We start from the raw sequence: 17494 nt of genomic DNA, 5'->3' as shown, positions 1-17494 counted from the left end.
TGGCTGTGAAACCCTGACTTTCTCCTGCCGACCCCCTAAGGCCCAGCATTCAGAACCTGGTAGGCCTGTCAGGCAGCCAGTCTTTCCATGCTGTCTCTCATTGCATATGTCCCATCTGTGCACCCATTGACCCAGGCAGTGTGTCCTGCTCCCTGATACACCAGATGTGTCCTCTGTTTGTCTTGCTGTTCTCCTAACAGCCCCCTCAGCTTGCTGCCTATCACAGCAGAGACTCCGTGCGTTTTCTAAATGGTTGATTGAGTAAACCCTCTTTTCTGGGTATCTTATTTGTTAATGCTTAATTTTTCTTTTTCTTTTCTTTTCCCCCAACAAAGGTTACCTTACCTTCCAGCAAAAATCTCAAGCCCTCGTCAGAAACAAACACTCAAAAAGGCTTATTTTAGGATCAGGAGGACTCTGAGGTATGTTATTCTTTTCCTTAGTTGTGGGTATTAGTCTATGGATATGACATAGAAACTATTTTTGAATCAGGTTTTTCTCAATAGAGTTATAAGACTTTTTGTTAAGTACTCCAGTTCTTTAAAAATTATCTCTAGAGACCAGGAGTGGTGGTTCACACCTGTAATCCCTGCACTTTGGGAGGCCAAGGCAGGCGGACACCTGCGGTCAGAAGTTCGAGACCAGGCTGGCCAACATGATGAAACCCTGCCACTATTAAAAAGACAAAAATTAGCCGGGCATGGCGGTGTGAGCCTGTAATCCCAGTTACTCAGGAGGCTGAGATAGGAGATTCACTTGAACCCAGGAGGCAGAAGTTGCAATGAACCGAGATCACACCATTGCACTCCAGCCTGGGCGACAGAGTGAGACTTCGTCTCAAAATAAATAAATGAATAAAAAATAATCTCTTGAGAGCACAGGGGCTTTAGAAAGCAATATGTTTACAATACTTTTCACTTTTGGGTTGGACTGTATTTACGTTTCCTGGGATGAAAATTCTCTCTTTTTAGGATGCTCAGATTTTAAACTGTTCATGGGCTCATGATGTGATGAGGAGCTTGCACCAGAGTGGAGGTCACCATGCTACTTCCTTTATTCACATTTTCACTAACTAGACCGTGGCTTAATGCTGTAGCAGATGGGTTCTGGCATAGCCATCTGTCTTGTCGAGACTGAGACCACTAACAGCCTGTGGGACCCTGGTTCACAGGTTGCTTTGGTCCCTCCAGGCACCTTAGAACCACCTCTCAGAATTTCACTGCTTTTCCTGAGTCTCTCAGGCCTAGGTCGTCTTAGATCTAATTTTATGTTGGCCTTTTAGGAGATTGGAGACCTGTATCAGAAATGTAATGGGAAATAATAAGCCCCTTTTACAGAAAAATATGTGGACATGGCAGAAACTTACATGTGTTTCAAGAAACTGTGGGCTCTAGGTTAGGCTGTCATGGTTGGGCTTTGCACTCACAGCAAGGATGAACATGGAACCCTTTGGAAGTATAGTGATTGCCCTTGACATAAAGAATACCTTTGAGGCTATTATTTCATTGAAGGCGAGTGTACAAAACATGGGAATTAACCAAAGTCCAGTCAAGTCACAACCCTGACCCCTGAGAAACAGCATGATGGGGCCTCCACCGTCTTATGCTCATGGATCCCCTGTGTCACCCACACCTGCACCTCAGGGTCTTTGCACCGGCCCCTGCCACTCTGAGGAATGCTGTTCCCAGAATCCAGCTTGCTTCCTCACTCTTCGATTTCTCTATGAGGCCTCCCTGATGAAATACACACAACAGGAAGCCTGCTAGCACGTACCACCCTGTGCTCCTGGTCCTCCTTCCTATTTCACTGTTTACCACAGCACGTGTTGCCAGGGACAGTGTATATTTACTTATTCATTGTCTCTACTTCCCACTAAAGTAAGTGCCACAAGGACAGGACTTTTTATTCCGTTTGTATCCCTAACACCCTGTCCTTAATACCAGTGCTTGGCATGTTGTAAGCCATCCAGTAATTGTTGATTAGACAAGAAAACAAAATGTGAGCAATTTCAGTGACTTACGAGGTGTTCTGGTTATTTGTTGCTATGAAACAAGCAACTCCAAAGCCTAGTGGTTTATAACACCAGTAGTTTTGTTATCTCATACTTCGAGAGGTTGACTGGGCTTAGCTAGGCCATTGTCACTGAGGGTCTCTTGTGTCTGAAGGTGGCTGGGCTGAGGGTCAGCTCACTCATATGTCTGGTACCTGGGCACTGGGGCCCCTGGGACATCTCTCACTAGCCCTGTGTGGCTCCCAGCATGTAGTCAGGGAAGCCAGTCCTCTTACATGCTGGCTCAGGGCTGTAGGGGAGAGTCCTCAGGGAGAGTCCGGTGGAGGCCATGTCGCCTTCTGTCTTCCAGCCTTGGAAGTCAACGGTGTTCCTTTTCCTTCATTTGTTGGTCAAGATGGTCACAATGGCCCATCCAGGTTTATGGGGAGAGGCCATAGGCTCCCCTTCTTGATGGTGGGAGTGTAAATGAACTCTCAGACTTGTGTGAAAACCCTACCAAAGGCTTTGCCCCATGTGTGTCATCATAGAGTGAATGTTTTTATTGGATATTGTTCAGATTCTGAGTCAAGGAGAAGTAAAACTAAGGCAGTCTAAGTAAGAGTTAAAGCTTTGGACCCGAAGGAATGCATCGTGACTCCTTTCTCTATATCTCAAGTGTGGGGCTGAAGCTTGCCCTGTGAAGTCATTTTGGGGGAACATATTTGAGGTAATGGAAGTGTCTTTTTTTGCAGTACCAATAAAAGTATTAGTTAAGGGTCCGAAACTGTGATGTTGACATTTGTTTTTGTTCTTTGCTTTGGTTTACTTTCATTTTCTTAGAACAGCAGAACCCTTTCTCTTGCCATTGTGTAACATTCAGGAGGGGCACAGGATGCCTGGAATTCCCCTTGTGACCTCTTCTATCTAAATAAACCCATGGGACTCTGGGAAGCACAGGGGAAAAACACTGTGTGGAGGAGATCTCACTTAGTGAACTCATTAGGTCTATGTTTGAGGAGTAGACAACAACCCCATGATTTAAAAAAAAAAAAAAACTGTCAGAAGAGGTCTTAGAAAATATGTTCTTGTCCTATTTAATTGTTCGGCTCTTGTGTATTAATGTTTCTCTTCCCAAGGGATTAGATGTCCCATTTTATGTTTCTACTTCATGTAGCTCAATTTGCAGGTCTTTCTTTGCAGGATAAGCTGATGTTTTATAACGTTTTGAAAATTTCTTTATTTTTATATTTTTTACTTTTTTGAGACAAAATTTCACTCTTTTTGCCCAGGCTGGAGTGCAGTGGTGGGATCTCAGCTCACTGCAACCTCTGCCTTCTGGGTTCAAGCAATTCTCCTGCCTCAGCCTCCTGAGTAGCTGGGATTACAGGCAACCACCGCCACGCCTGGCTAATTTTGTATTTTTAGTAGAGACAGGGTTTTGTCATGTTGCCCAGGCTGGTCTCAAACTCCTGACCTCAGGTGATCCACCTGCCCCAGCCTCCCAAAATGCTGGGATTATAGGTATGAGCCACAGCGCCAGGCTGAAAGTTTATTCAGAATCTAGCAGGTCTCATCCTGGTTTGCAACATCATATACGTGTAGTTAAACTAAGTAGACTACCAAACATTTACAAATAAAAATTTAATTTGAATTTATTTAAAAGAAATAAGTGGGCCGTGCGCGGTAGCTCACGTCTGTAATCCCAGCACTTTGGGAGGCAGAGGCGGGCGGATCACGAGTTCAGGAGATCGAGACCATCCTGGCTAACACGGGGAAACCCGGTCTCTACTAAAAATACAAAAAAATTAGCCGGGCGTGGTGGCGGGCGCCTGTAGTCCCAGCTACTCGGGAGGCTGAGGCACGAGAATGGCGTGAATCCGGGAGGGGGAGCTTGCAGTGAGCCAACATGGCGCCACTGCACTGCAGCCTGGGCAACAGAGCGAGACTCTGCCTCAAAAAAAAGAAAAAGAAGTAAGTCATAATCTTAGGGGAGGAGGGTGTTACTAAATAAAATAGTTGTAGCTCCATTAATTTGGGAATCTAGCCCCTGTTTCTTTATTGACCCTGTCTAATCTCTGATTCTTTAGACAGTAATGGGAAGCCATGCTTATATATTTATTTTTTTAGCATGGTGTAGGAAATTGATTCAAAAACTTATTCCTGCCTTCTGTCATTCAGGTGGGAATACAGAAGCCCCTGGGCTCTGTGAGGCCACCAGATCCTGTAGCTCTCCTCCTCCTTAGTGCCACTGCACACACCCTGCACAGACCCTGAGGCCTATCCCTTTAAGGACTCTGTCTGAGCCACCTTCCCTCTCAGGAAAGAAGCCTAGACACATGGCAGCTGTCATGTCTGAGTCACTTGTGTTTTATACTGACCTGATATTTTAAAAACTGATATTCCTGTTAACCAGCAACTTTAATTTCAATCCAACAGGATTTGTTTTCTTCTCAAAGTGCGAGTAACTTAAAAGGTGCATCTCTGCTGCCTGGCAAGCTCCCCACGTCGGTTTCCCTGTTTGATGATGAAGATGAAGAGGTAAACATTGTTATTGTAACACTAGATAATTTAGATTAGGAGAAAACGGTTGTTGATGTAACTTTCTACCCAGAGGCTCATATACTAGCAAAAGGTGGTAGGGAAGCAGTCAGGCCACCTGAAGTTTATATAACAAAAATATTTCTGTTTTTATTTCAGTGACTTCTTCCTTATATTTTCCTAGCTGTGCAATGGAGAAGACATTAGATTCTTGATGCAGTTCTTTTTTTTTTTTTTTTTCCGAGTTGGAGACTTTCTCTGTCACCCAGGCTGGAGTGCAGTGATGCGATCTTGGCTCACTGCAGCCGGGTTCAGGTGATTCTCCTGCCTCGACCTCCCAAGTAGCTGGGACTACAGGCACACACCACCACTCCCGGCTAATTTTTGTATTGTTAGTAGAGACAGGGTTTCACCATGTTGGCCAGGCTAGTTTTGAATTCCTGATCTCAGGTGATCCGCCTGCCTCGGCCTCCCTAAGTGCTAGGATTACAGGTATGAGCCACTGTGCCTGGCCTCTTGACACATTTCTCATGGAGTGAAATCTACAGGTTTTATTTTTAGAAATTTTCCTTTGAGAAATACGATTGACCCTTTAACAGTGAGGAGGTTGTTTTGGCTTCCACATTGCAGTGAAAAATCCATATATAACTTCTTACTTCCCAAAAACTTATCTACTGACACCTTACTGTTAACCAGAGGCCTCATGGGTAACACAAACAGTTGATTAACCTATAAATAGTATAGTATCTATTTATATATTTTTGTATTCCTGACATATCTAGCATTTCCTTATTTTTTTTTTGATATTTCTAGGCTAAGTGGTTTGTCTGCAAGATTTTTCAAATTGCTGCAAATGTCAAAAAAATTTTCAGCATATTACTGAGAAAACATTTGTGTAGAAGTGGACCTGTGCAGCTCAAACCTGTGTCATTCAGGGTCAGCTGTACTTTAGTCTAGAGGATGGATCAACATATACCCAATGACCTACAAGAATGTTTTGGATCAAGTGGAGATACAAAGGAGAAGGCAGCCATGTCCTGACCATTGCCTTTGTTTCCCATCCTGGCTGGAGAGAGCACAGTGGGGAAGAGAAATAAGAGAGAAGACAACCCAAACCTTAACTCTCATGCAGTACTGGGCAGTGGTGAGCTCAGAGGCTTTGCCATCAGACCCCTGGGTTCATATCCCAGCTCCACCACTTGCAAACCAGGGACCTGGGGCAAGTAACTTAACCTTCCTTAAGCTCATGTGGCTTAACAGTGAGTAGGGTCACTGTGGCAGCTGTAACTACTAGTGTGAAGCTCTTGCAGAGTGCCGGCACATAATAAGTGCATAGTGAATGTGAGCTCTGTCATTAGCATCCCCAATGGACACCAGCTCATTATTCTCCTGGCCTGTCCTACATTACCGCACTCTCCTTAAAGGAGACTTCATTCAGGAAGACACTCCCTTCATCCATCTTCACATTCCAGGGCTGTTCACCTGCTGTTAAGAGTTTGTCCATCCTAACTCAGACTCAGGCCCTCTGATGCTTTTGTTCCCCTTACCTGAATAAAAGCACCTTAAGAAATATAACTTTTGGGGAGTGCTTGACCACAGAAGAATTTACAAATGCCATTAAACTTAGTACACCAGCAATTTTATTTAGTAAACTATTTCTCCAATTTGTATAATCTCTTTGAAACTAATGAGAAACACAAGTCATGCCTTCCCTCCATCCCAGGTGTGTGTCTTTCTGACCTGTAAAGGAGTGGAGACAGACCCCCAGTTCTCTCCTTTGAGCCATTGTTCTGGTTTCTCATTCATGGAGAGGACTGTGTGAGTTTCTGGCTGCTGCAGGGGCTCCCATGCCCGTTGCAGGCTGTAACCCCCTGAAATGAGCAGAGAGGCACTTGCCCACAGGGTGACTGGATGGGGCTCAGTTTCTCCTTGTACTTTGTGATCTCATTCGCATGTTGTTCTCCTGCTTATTCGCAGCTGTTCTGCCTTTGAGTTCTATGGTAACCTCTTTCCCTTCTATGGGTGCAGTGAGAAAAGGCTGTAGTTTGGGATTTACTAGCATTTTACGGTTTTTCCCCGCCAGAGTTGTTATTTGTATACCTGACTGGAGACTTACTTCCTAACAGTTTGATATAGGAGGACATCCTATGTTTTCTGATTATAAAGTTGTCTTACCTTTCTGCCATTTGCTTTTCTAGGATAATCTTTTTGGGCGTACAGCTGCTAAGAGGCAGACATTGTGTCTACAAGCTCAGAGAGAAGAGAAAGCAAAAGCCTCCGAGCTCTCCAAAAAGAAAGCATCTGCCCTGTTGTTCAGCAGTGATGAGGAGGTGAGCTGAGGTTTCTGCTAAAGAAGAGGGGATTATTTCATGGGATTTAAGAGTTAAAGCCACCCCAAATATTTTCTTTTTCTACCTGTTTTATATCTCGTGATGTTCAGTCACCAAAGGTGATGTTCACAAGATTGTCTTTTCTGACGGAAGACATTTAATGTAATATATTAATTTAAAGATGAATCTCTTCAAAATGGTTAGGAATAAGTATGACTCCCACACGATAGTGTATGCTCCTTCAAATGAGTTAGGCCAGCTAGGGGGGAAATGATTTCTCAGCCATCGCTAGGTTCATGGTTGAGTCCCTTAGAACAAATGACAGATTAACCAGAGAAAAGTGTGCAAGTTTACGTAAGATAAGTTTTACCAGACACAGGAGCCTTCAGAAAGAAAAACTCAAGAGAAACAGGAAATCCTGTGTCAATTTGATGCTGTCTGATGAAGAAGCGGACAGTTTTGGGGAGCACGATTAGATGAAAGGGGTGTGACCTGATGGGAATAAGCTGGGGGGAGCTCAGCAAGGCCTGTGTGGTCAGATCATTCTCTGCATCTTTACAAATAAGGAGGCTCCTTTCCTCTGGGAATAGGGAGGACTGGAATGAAGGTCTTATGACCTACTCCAGAGAGGGTTAGAGGATTCTTCTATGTCCTCCTTCAGAGGAGAAGGGCCAGGGAGAGGTCAGAGACATCTTTCTGCTTCTGTTTTCTCAAATGCCAAGGTGTCATATTTTGAGGTAGCATGTCCCGTATACCCCAATGGCCATATATACTAGTATCTTGTTAAATGACTACTGTGTTTCATTAATTTAGAACTATAGTTAGGAGGAGTTACATATTGAGGTTAAACTCCTTTTTGAGGGAGTCTTAACAATATTTCTGTTTGTGATCTGGATAGATACTACCAAATCAGTTAGTTTAGTTGCTAACTCAATCAGATTTAGTAGCAGGGAATCAGATTTAGCTGTGCAGAAAAAGACTTTAAATATGATGACATAAAAAATCCTCAGTGTTAAACATCTTCCTGTGTTATAATAATTCCTCTTTTTTTTAACATTGTAGGCAAGTTAGGAGCGGGTGAAGTGGATATATAAGTCATAGATATGTTCATGTTCTTACTGAAAGCAATTTAAAAATTCCGAAGCAGATTGCAAAAAAAATGTATTAAAAGCTTATGCGGCTGGGCGTGGAGGCTCACGTCTGTAATCCCAGCACTTTGAGAGTCTGAGGCAGGCAGATCACTTGAGGTTGGGAGTTCGGAACCAGCCTGACATGGAGAAACCTTGTCTCTATTAAAAATACAAAAAAATTAGCAGCTTGTGGTGGCGCATGCCTGTAATCCCAACTACTCAGGAGGCTGAGGCAGGAGAATAACTTGAACCCAGGAGACGGAGGTTGTTGTGAGCCGAGATCGCGCCATTGCACTCCAGCCTGGGCAACGAGCGAAACTCCGTCTCAAAAAAAAAAAAAGAGAGAAAAGCTTATGCAACACACATGTGAACAAGACACAACGAAAAACTGCTAGCAATCCTTTTACTACAAAAGTCTGACTCTGGCCTTTAGAAAGCATTTAAGGAATTCCCACCCAGCTGTGCTCACATTTCCACATCAAGGAATTCCCAAGCATATATAATTTGTGTTTTCTACTCGAACATATGAATTTATGATGGATTATCCAGTTTTTTTCTTTTAAACATTGTCAGTGATTGTTCCCCCTGTAGCAACAGCCAGACATCAGTGTAGTTGCTCCTACTAGAGTATTATAGTGGTTCAGGGAAAATAAAAACATTACCTAAAGCTTGGAGCAAAAAGATATGCAGAGGAAAGATAGCCAAGGTTCTAGAACAGGGGCGTCCAGTCTTTTGGCTTCCCTGGCCCACACTGGAAGAAGAAGAATTGTCTTGGGTCACACATAAAATGCACTAATACTAACAATAGCTGATGAACTAAAAAAAAAAAAAAAAAAAGGTTCATGCATAAATCCCATAATGTTTTAAGAAAGTTTACAGATTTGTGGTGGGCCGCATTCAAAGCCATACTGGGCTGTGTGTGGCCCATGGGCCACGGGTTGGACAAGCTTGTCCTAGAACAAAGGCTGTCAACTTCGGCTGCTCACTGGGATCCATGGGGAACTTAAAAGAGTGCTGACAGGCCAGGCACAGTGGCTCACGCCTGTAATCCCAGCAGTCTGGGAGGCAGAGGTGGGCAGATCACCTGAGATTAGGAGTTTGAGACCAGGCTGGCCAACATGGCGAAACTCCGTCTCTACTAAAAAATATAGAAATTATCTGGGCGTGGTGGTGCCTGCCTGTAATCCCAGCTACTCAGGAGGCTGAAGCAGGAGAATCACTGGAACCTGGGAGGCAGAGGTTGCAGTGAGCCAAGATCGTGCCACTGCACTGCAGCCAGGGCCACAGAGCGAGACTCTGTCTCAAAAAAGGAAAAAAAATAAAAAGAAAAGACCTAATGAGTGCTGACAGTGGATCCCAGCTCCAGAGATTCTGAATTAATCTGGTTGGGGTACAGCCTCGTCATTGGAGTTTTGTGATGCTCTCTAGTGGATTTCAGCATTTAGTCACTGCTAAACATTGAGGAGCACTTCTCAAACCTTCATGTTTAGGAAATCACCTGGGCACCCTGTGAAATGCAGGTTCTGACTCAGAAAATAGGGGCGGGGCCTGAAATTCTGCATAATCTGCTGCTGGCTTGTGGACTCCACTTTGATTTGTAAGACTCTAGACTCCAGAGATACAGCACTTATGCAAGTGCTTGGGAGTTCTTTGATTTGAAGGGGTGTGAGCACAGTCGAGTAGAATTTCCCTAAATGCTTTCTAAAGGCCACATTCAGACTTGTGGTAAAAGGATTACTAGCAGTTTTTCATTGTGTCTTGTTCACATGTGTGTTGCATGAGTTTTTACACTTTTTTTTTCAATCTGCTTTAGGATTTTTAGAATTAAAATGTCATTCTTCTCTGGAGTTGGAAGTTTTTGAGTTCTTGGTATTTTTACATTCGGCTTCCTTATAGCCTCTGTAATTAATGTTGATCCCTTGAAATAAACAAGTCGCTTGTCGTAATATAGTGCAGAACCACAGTAGGAAGAGATATCATGGCAGATGTTGGAGGAAGAAATCATGGGAAGCTCTGTGAGGTCAGAGAGCCCAGCTGTCTAGATTTGAGTTCAAAGGAAAGTCTTAGGCATGAGCTTTCTTCAAGACTGATGCACTAAGTTTAATACTTAGTTTAAATACAACTTAGTTTAACAAATATAAGTTTTATTTTACTTCCCATGTTTTATAATCTAAATTGCCATTGGACTTTTTTTTTTTTTTTTTTTTTTTGAGACAGAGTCTCGCTCTGTCCCCCAGGCTGGAGTGCAGTGGCGTGATCTCTGTTCACTGCAAGCTCCGCCTGCTGGGTTCACTCCATTCTCCTGCCTCAGCCTCCCAAATAGCTGTGACTACAGGTGCCTGTCACCGTGCCTGGCTCATTTTTTTGTGTTTTTAGTAGAGATGGGGTTTCACCGTGTTAGCCAGGATGGTCTCAATCTCCTGACCTTGTGATCCACATGCCTCAGCCTCCCAAAGTGCTGGGTTTACAGGCATGAGACACTGCGCCCAGCCTATGGCAATATTTTTAATGGCAGCTTCACATTCTGGATATCTTTATGTTGGGGAAAAAGTTTCAAAGGTAACTGCTCTTCTGTAGCTAAGCTTTTTTAGAGCAGAGGATGGAGCAAATTCTGAGTTACTGAAATTACATATTTAGCGCTATTGCCTTGTTTAGCTTTAACTTCTATTTCATCTTTATAGTTGTCTTTTCAGACGTTTTCAGAAGAGATGAGAGAAATGCTTTGGGAATTGATTTGGAAATCTTTTTGCTGTCATTACTTTTAATAGCTAGATATATGTTTTAATTGTAAAAAATTCTGGAAATACTTTTTTCTCTACCTGCCCCCATTTTTTTTTGTTTTTTTTCTGAGACAAGGTCTGGTTGTGTTGCCCAGGCTGGGGTGCGGTGGCATAATCATACCTTGCTGCACCTTTGAGCTCCAGGACTCCAGTGATCCTCCCACCTTAGCCTCCTGAATGGCTGGGACTACAGATGTGTGCCATCATGCCCAGCTAATTTTTTTTTTAATTTTGTAGAGACAAGGATCTTGCTATGTTGCCCAGGCTGGTCTCAACCTTCTTACCTCAAGTGATTCTCCCACCTTGGCCTCCTGAATTGCTGGGATTACAGGCATGAGCTACCGTGGCCAGCTTTTTTTCTGTTTTGTTTCTTGTTCCCCTTCTGTTTTGTTTTTTTTAGCTGTTTTTCCATCCCATCTTTAAGTCTTCATTGCCCCCTCATTTTCCAACATCATGAGTCCCACAGCATGCTCAGCTAAGCACGACCACACACCATTTCAAGAAGCTGTTCATGGACCCAGCTTTTAGTACTGGCTGGGTCTTTGTCCTGCTGCAGCTTCCATTTGTTCCTCAGCTACCCTCTAGGCATCCAGTCTGGCTTAACCAGATTTCATGGCCTCATTTTGTCCTCTGCTACAGTGATTTCTACTCCTGAGGAGAAGCATAACTATCTTCTAGAGGGAAACATTTTCCTTTTGGTTATCAATCTTAGTTCTTTTAGGATATTGGAAATTACCCCATTGACTGGACCCAGACTTATGGTGGAAGTTCCAGCACAATTAATACTGAACGGGGTTGTGCTTTTTCTTCTGGCATATAATTGAATTATCCATTCTCATTATAGGTGAAGGACTTGCAAATCTGTTTGTTATCTTCTACCCTCCCCCAGCCTATTATTTTCAGGGTCTCACTATGGAAGAACACTGTGGTGAAGGAAACAATCCAGATTCCTTTGGCAGTCATAGTCACTCATGTCTTTATTTCTGTCATGTGCATTTTGCAGTCCTGACACCTGACTTCTGTTGCTAGAGCCGCAACTATGTAGGTAGGAGTACTGTTGGCTTCGGGGATACACACACTGGTGACCCTATAGGACAGTCTTATTTGATATAGCATAAGTATGTTTTTAAGAATTCATGTTATCCAAAATTATAAAAGCAGTTGTTTGAATGAGTGAAAGAAAGGGGGTTAAGTTTAGAGAGCTCCATACAAAGTCATATATAAGCAATGCAGCTTTTAAATTTAGCTTTTATTTAAGAGCAATGACCCTTTACCACTATCACCAGCAGTATTATTAGCCTGGTACCTTGTATTACTCTAATACCCATCATTTTGAAATGTGGTGCAACAACACTCAAAAGAGCTATGCTACAAGAAACAACTTTCCTTTCTGTAATGCCCTCCCTTTAGGATCACTAGAAGTTTGAACAATGCAATTCAGATTCCCAAATTAATTATCTTTCCTATTAATATTATAAAAACTCATAGCAGATTCCTGTATGTGCATGTATGTTATGAGTTGGATAAACATTGATGGACTTCATTTGGAGTGAATCAGAATGGGATTCCTGTGAGAAGCCAACATCCCTCTAAACAAACTTTTGGAGCATGATATGGCTTGGATGTTTTGTCCCCTCCAAATCTCATGTTGAAATCTGACCGCCAGTATCGGAAGTGGGCCTAGTGGGAGGTGTTTGGGTCATGGGGGTGGATCCTCATGAATGTCTTGGTGCTGCCCTTGTGGTAATGAATGAGTTCTCACTCTGATTTCACATGAGATCTGGATTAAAAGAACCTGGGGGCTAGGCATGGTGGCTCATGCCTGTAATCTCAGCACTTTGGGAGGCTGAGGCTGGCAGATCACAATTTCAGGAGATGGAGACCATCCTGGCCAACATCTTGAAACCCTATCTCTACTAAAAATACAAAAATTAGCCAGGTGTGGTGGCACGTATCTGTAGTCCCAGCTACTCAGGAGGCTGAGGCAGGAGAATCGCTTGAACCCAGGAGGCAGATGTTGCAGTGAGCTGAGATCGCGCCACTGCACTCCAGCCTGGGTGACAGAGCAAGACTCTGTCTTAAACAAACAAATAAACACAACCTGGCACCTCTTTCTTCTCTCTCTCTTGTTCTCTCACCATGTAACATGCTGGCTCCTTTCCTCTTGCCATGATTGTAAACTTCCTGAGGCCCTCACCAGAAGCAGATACCAGCATTATACTCCTTGTACACTCTACGGAACTGTGAGCCAAAATAAAACTCTTTTCTTTATAAATTGCCCAGTCTCAGGTATTCCTTTATAGCAATATGAACAGGCTAACACAGAGGATAACCAAATATTTATTAATGTCTAAAACTTGGAGAATACCTTACCTATAGCACAGGTTTGTTCTGAGGATCAATTGAAAGACTAAAATATCTATTCTTTCCTTGAACAAAGCTTTAATGAGTACCAATATGTGCAAAAGACTGTGCTAGGTGGTAGAGATCAGATGTGCTCCCTTCAGTTTAGTTAAAAATGAAATTGTTAGGGGCTGGACACAGTGGCTCATGCCTGTAATCCCAGCACTTTGGGAGGCCAAGGTGGGCAGATCACGAGGTCAGGAATTTGATACTATTCTGGTTAACATGGTGAAACCCCATCTCTACTAAAAATATAAAAAATTAGCCACGCGTGGTGGCAGGCGCCTGTAATCCCAGCTACTCGGGAGGCTGAGGCAGGAGAATGGCATGAACCTGGGAGGCGGAGCTTGCAGTGAGTCAAGATCATGCCACTGCACTCCAGCCTGGGTGACAGAGAGAGACTCCGTCTCAATAAATAAAGAAATAATAAAATAAAGAAATTGTTATGGGTGCAATATATGATGTAGGTAGTAGTGTAAAGGGGGTAGGTATAAAAGCTTTGTGGAATAGTTGATATTGGAGCTGAATGTTGAAAGGTGATTAGGTGCTTGTCAGGTAACCATGTGTGCACAAGATAGTAAGTAGAGCAGAGCAGGAGCAACAATATAGAAGCTGATGTGTTCTGAAGCTGCAGATGCAGATGATTAGAGGATAGAAGTACCAGAGATGTTGCAAGATGAGGTGAGGTTGTAGATGAGTAAAATGGGGCCGGAATGTGAGATGCATAATCTTGGGAGCATTTCTAAGGAGTCTGAATTATATTCTATAGACAGGGAGAAGTCATTATAGGACCTTGAGGCAAGAAATAACATGATCAGTTCTACATTTTCAAAAGATAACTGTGCTCCACATTATGTGTCATTAGGGAAATACAAATTAAAACAGCAGTGACGTACTATTACATGACTGTTACAATGGCTGAAATCCAAAACACTGACAACACCAAAGCTGGGGAAGATGGGGAGCAACAGGAACTCTCATTCACTGCCAGTGGGAATACAAAATGGTACTTTGGAGGATTGTTTGGCAACTTCTTACATATTCTTACTGTATGATCCAGCAATTATGCTCCTTGGAATTTGCCCAAGTGAGTAGAAAACATGTTCACACAAAAACCTGCATACAGATGTGTATGGAAGCTTTTTTCACAATTGCCAAAACTTGGAAGCAACCAAGATGTCCTTCAGTAGATGAATGTATTAATAAACTCTGTACTATACCCAGACAATGGACTGTTATTCAGCACCAAAAAGAAATGAGCTATATCAACCCATGAAAAGACATGGAAGAATCTTAAGTGTGTGTTACTAAGTGAAAGAAGCCAATCTGAAAAGGCCGTATACTATAAAATCCCGAATTATGTCTGGAAAAGGTAAAAGTATGGAGATGGTAAAAAGTGTAGTGTTTGCCAGGATCTGAGGGGAGAGAGGAATGAATAGGCAAAGCACAGAGGATTTGTAGCACAGTGTATGTATTCTGTGTGGTACTGTAATGGTGAATACACGTCATTATGCATTAGTTCAAATCCGTCAAGAGTGAACCCTAATGTAAATTACAAACTTCTATTTATGTGTGAAAATGATGTGTCACTGTGGGGTTCATCAGTTGTAATAAATGTACCACTCTGGTGCAGGTTGTGATAGGAGAAGGCTGTGGGAGTGAGGGTCATATAGGAACTCTGTAATTTCTGCTCAGTTCTGCTGCTCAAAAAATGAAATCTATTCAAAAAGGAACCTTTTCATGTTTAGACTAACTTAGTTCATTTCCCTCATTTAGTTCCTTCATTGTTGAGGTTTCATTGCAATGCATTCTAAAGTCAAACATAAAATTATTTTAGAACTTTGTGTGACTTCTCTGCTTGCTTAAACATCATTGCTGAATAATGTAAAAATATGATACCCTAATCTAGTTTTCATAAACATTTTTTCAAAATTGAAATTAAAACTGGCTTCATGGACAGATGGGTTGAAAGAGTGAAAGGCAAGAATCGAGGATCAAAACTAGGCCATGAAAATTGCTCAGTTGAGAGCTAATGAAGCCCTAAATTAAGCCCTAATCATTGTAGATGGAGTGGGTGTCAGATATAAACAATATTAAGAGGCTGGGCCCAGTGGCTAACACCTGTAATCCCAGCACTTTGGGAGGCCGAGACAGGCAGATCACAAGGTCAGGAGTTCGAGACCAGCCTGGCCAATATGGTGAAACCCCATCTGTACTAAAAATACAAAAATTAGCCAGGCGTGGTGGTGCGTGCCTTTAGTCCCAGCTACTCAGGAGGCTGAGGCAGGAGAATCTCTTGAACTGGGGAGGTGGAGGTTGCAGTGAGCCGAGATCGCGCCACTGCACTCCAGCCTGGGTGACAAAGCAAGACTGTGTTTCAAAAACAAACAAACAAACAAAAAACAATATTAGGAAGTCATATTGTCTAGAATTGGTCATTTCTAGGTGTCATGGGGTTGGGGGAAAATCCAAAATTATTGACAGATCATTTTGAGTGATGGCATGAAAGGCATCTCTTTACCAAGATGGGGACTACAGGAAAGCAGGAGGTTTGTGGGAAAAATTATAAGTTTTGAGTATATTGGATTTCAGATGCCTCTGGAATATCATGCTTATGGAGTGGAGATTACTAACAAAACCACCATCTTTAAAAAGAACTGCTTCTTTAAACATGCTTATATTGTAGTGAGTTCAGTGATATCTCATATCCTTTGGTAGAAAAAATTGTAAAAAAAATTTATGTATGGCACATTTCTCTGATGCTTGCACTTTCATAGTGTTCACTTTCTGTTCACCTAGGTTTACTTACTGATATCCTTCTCCCACTCTGAGGCTTTGCCTATCCTGAAATACATTTAAAAATTTACCCATGTCAGAAACACTTCCCAACTCATCCTATAAGGCCAATATTACCCTGATACCAAATCCAGACAGACATAAAGAAAGCTACAGATCATCTCTTATGATTATAGACACAGAGATCCTGAGGAAATACTTCCAGACCAAATCCATCAACATTTGTAAAGGATTACATACCATGTACAAATAGGATTTATCCCAGTAATGCAAGATTCATTTGACACACAAAAATTAATGTAATATATGAATAAAAGAAGAAAGAAAACCACATGATGATTTCAATAGACACTTTCTGAAAAAAGCATTGGACAAAATTCACACCCCTTCTTGACTAAAAAGAAAACCCACCTAAAGTAGGAATAGAAGGGAAGCTCCTCAACCTGATAAATGGTTATCTATAAAAACCCCACGGTTAATGTTATACCTAATGGTTTCCTTCTACAGTCAGGAATAAGACAAGGATGTCCAGTCTCACCACTTTTATTCAATCTTGTAATGAAGGTTCTAGAGCAGGGCAATTAGGCAAGAAAGGGAAATAAGAAGGGCATGGTGGCTCACGCCTGTAATCCCAGCACTTGGGAGGCCAAAGCAGGTGGATCACCTGAGGTCAGGAGTTCGAGACCAACCTGGCCAACTTAGTGAAACCCCATCTCTACTAAAAATACACAGATTTGCCTGGCATGGTGGCAGATGCCTGTAATCCCAGCCACTTGGGAGGCTGAGGCAGGAGAATCGCTTGAACCCAGTAGGCAGAGGTTGCAGTGAGCTGAGATTGTGCCATTGTACTCCAGTCTGGGCAAGACTGGCATGAGACTCTCTCTCAAAAAAAAGTGGGGGGAATAAAAGAGCATATAGATTAGAAAGGGAGAAGTAAAGCTCTATTTGTAAATGACATGATCTTGTATATAAAGCTTTTATATAGTAGATCTTTAGGAAGAACTAAATAACTAAATGAACTAAATAAACAGTTCAGCACAGTTGCAGTGCACAAGATCGATACATTAAAATCAGTTGTGTTTCTATACACTAGCAATGAGCAATCTGAAATTAATTAAGACAGTGATTCCATTTATAATAGCATTTAAAGGAATAAAATACTTAGGAATAAATTTAAAAAAAGAGAACAAAACTTGTACTCTAAAAATTGTAAAACATTTTTGAAATAAATTAGATATAAACTGAAAAATAGTAGATATTTATGGATTAGAAGTCTTAGTATTAAGATTGCAATACTCTCCAAATCTACAGACTTAATACAATCCCTGTCAAAATCCCAGCTAACATTTTTGCAAAATTGGCATACTTAAAATTCTTATGGCAATTCAAGGAGCTCAGAATAGCCAACAATCTAAAAAGAGAAGAACAAATTGGAGGACTCACACTTCCTAATTTCAGAACTTAATACAAAGCTGCAGTAATTAAGATAGGGTGGTGCTGGCATAGGTAGATCAGTAGCATGAAGAG

The 17494-nt window shown here is 42.2% G+C and overlaps 1 pseudogene across 1 annotated transcript in view; it reads left to right on the top strand.

The window, feature by feature from the left end:
• The window catches only part of FAM21EP (family with sequence similarity 21 member E, pseudogene), a 46622-nt pseudogene that overhangs the window by 12744 nt on the left and 16384 nt on the right, over positions 1 to 17494 (top strand). Inside the window, exons 4-6 of the transcript NR_038275.2 lie at positions 336 to 422; positions 4427 to 4528; positions 6727 to 6858. The product of NR_038275.2 is annotated as a family with sequence similarity 21 member E, pseudogene (transcript). The remainder of the gene's footprint in view (positions 1 to 335; positions 423 to 4426; positions 4529 to 6726; positions 6859 to 17494) is intronic.

The sequence above is a fragment of the Homo sapiens genome, chromosome 10, assembly GCF_000001405.40.
Source record: "Homo sapiens chromosome 10, GRCh38.p14 Primary Assembly".
In the NCBI taxonomy this organism is placed as follows: Eukaryota; Metazoa; Chordata; class Mammalia; order Primates; family Hominidae; genus Homo; species Homo sapiens.
The sequence above is the reverse complement of the archived record's forward strand: the minus strand, read 5'-3'. Positions and strand labels throughout refer to the sequence as shown.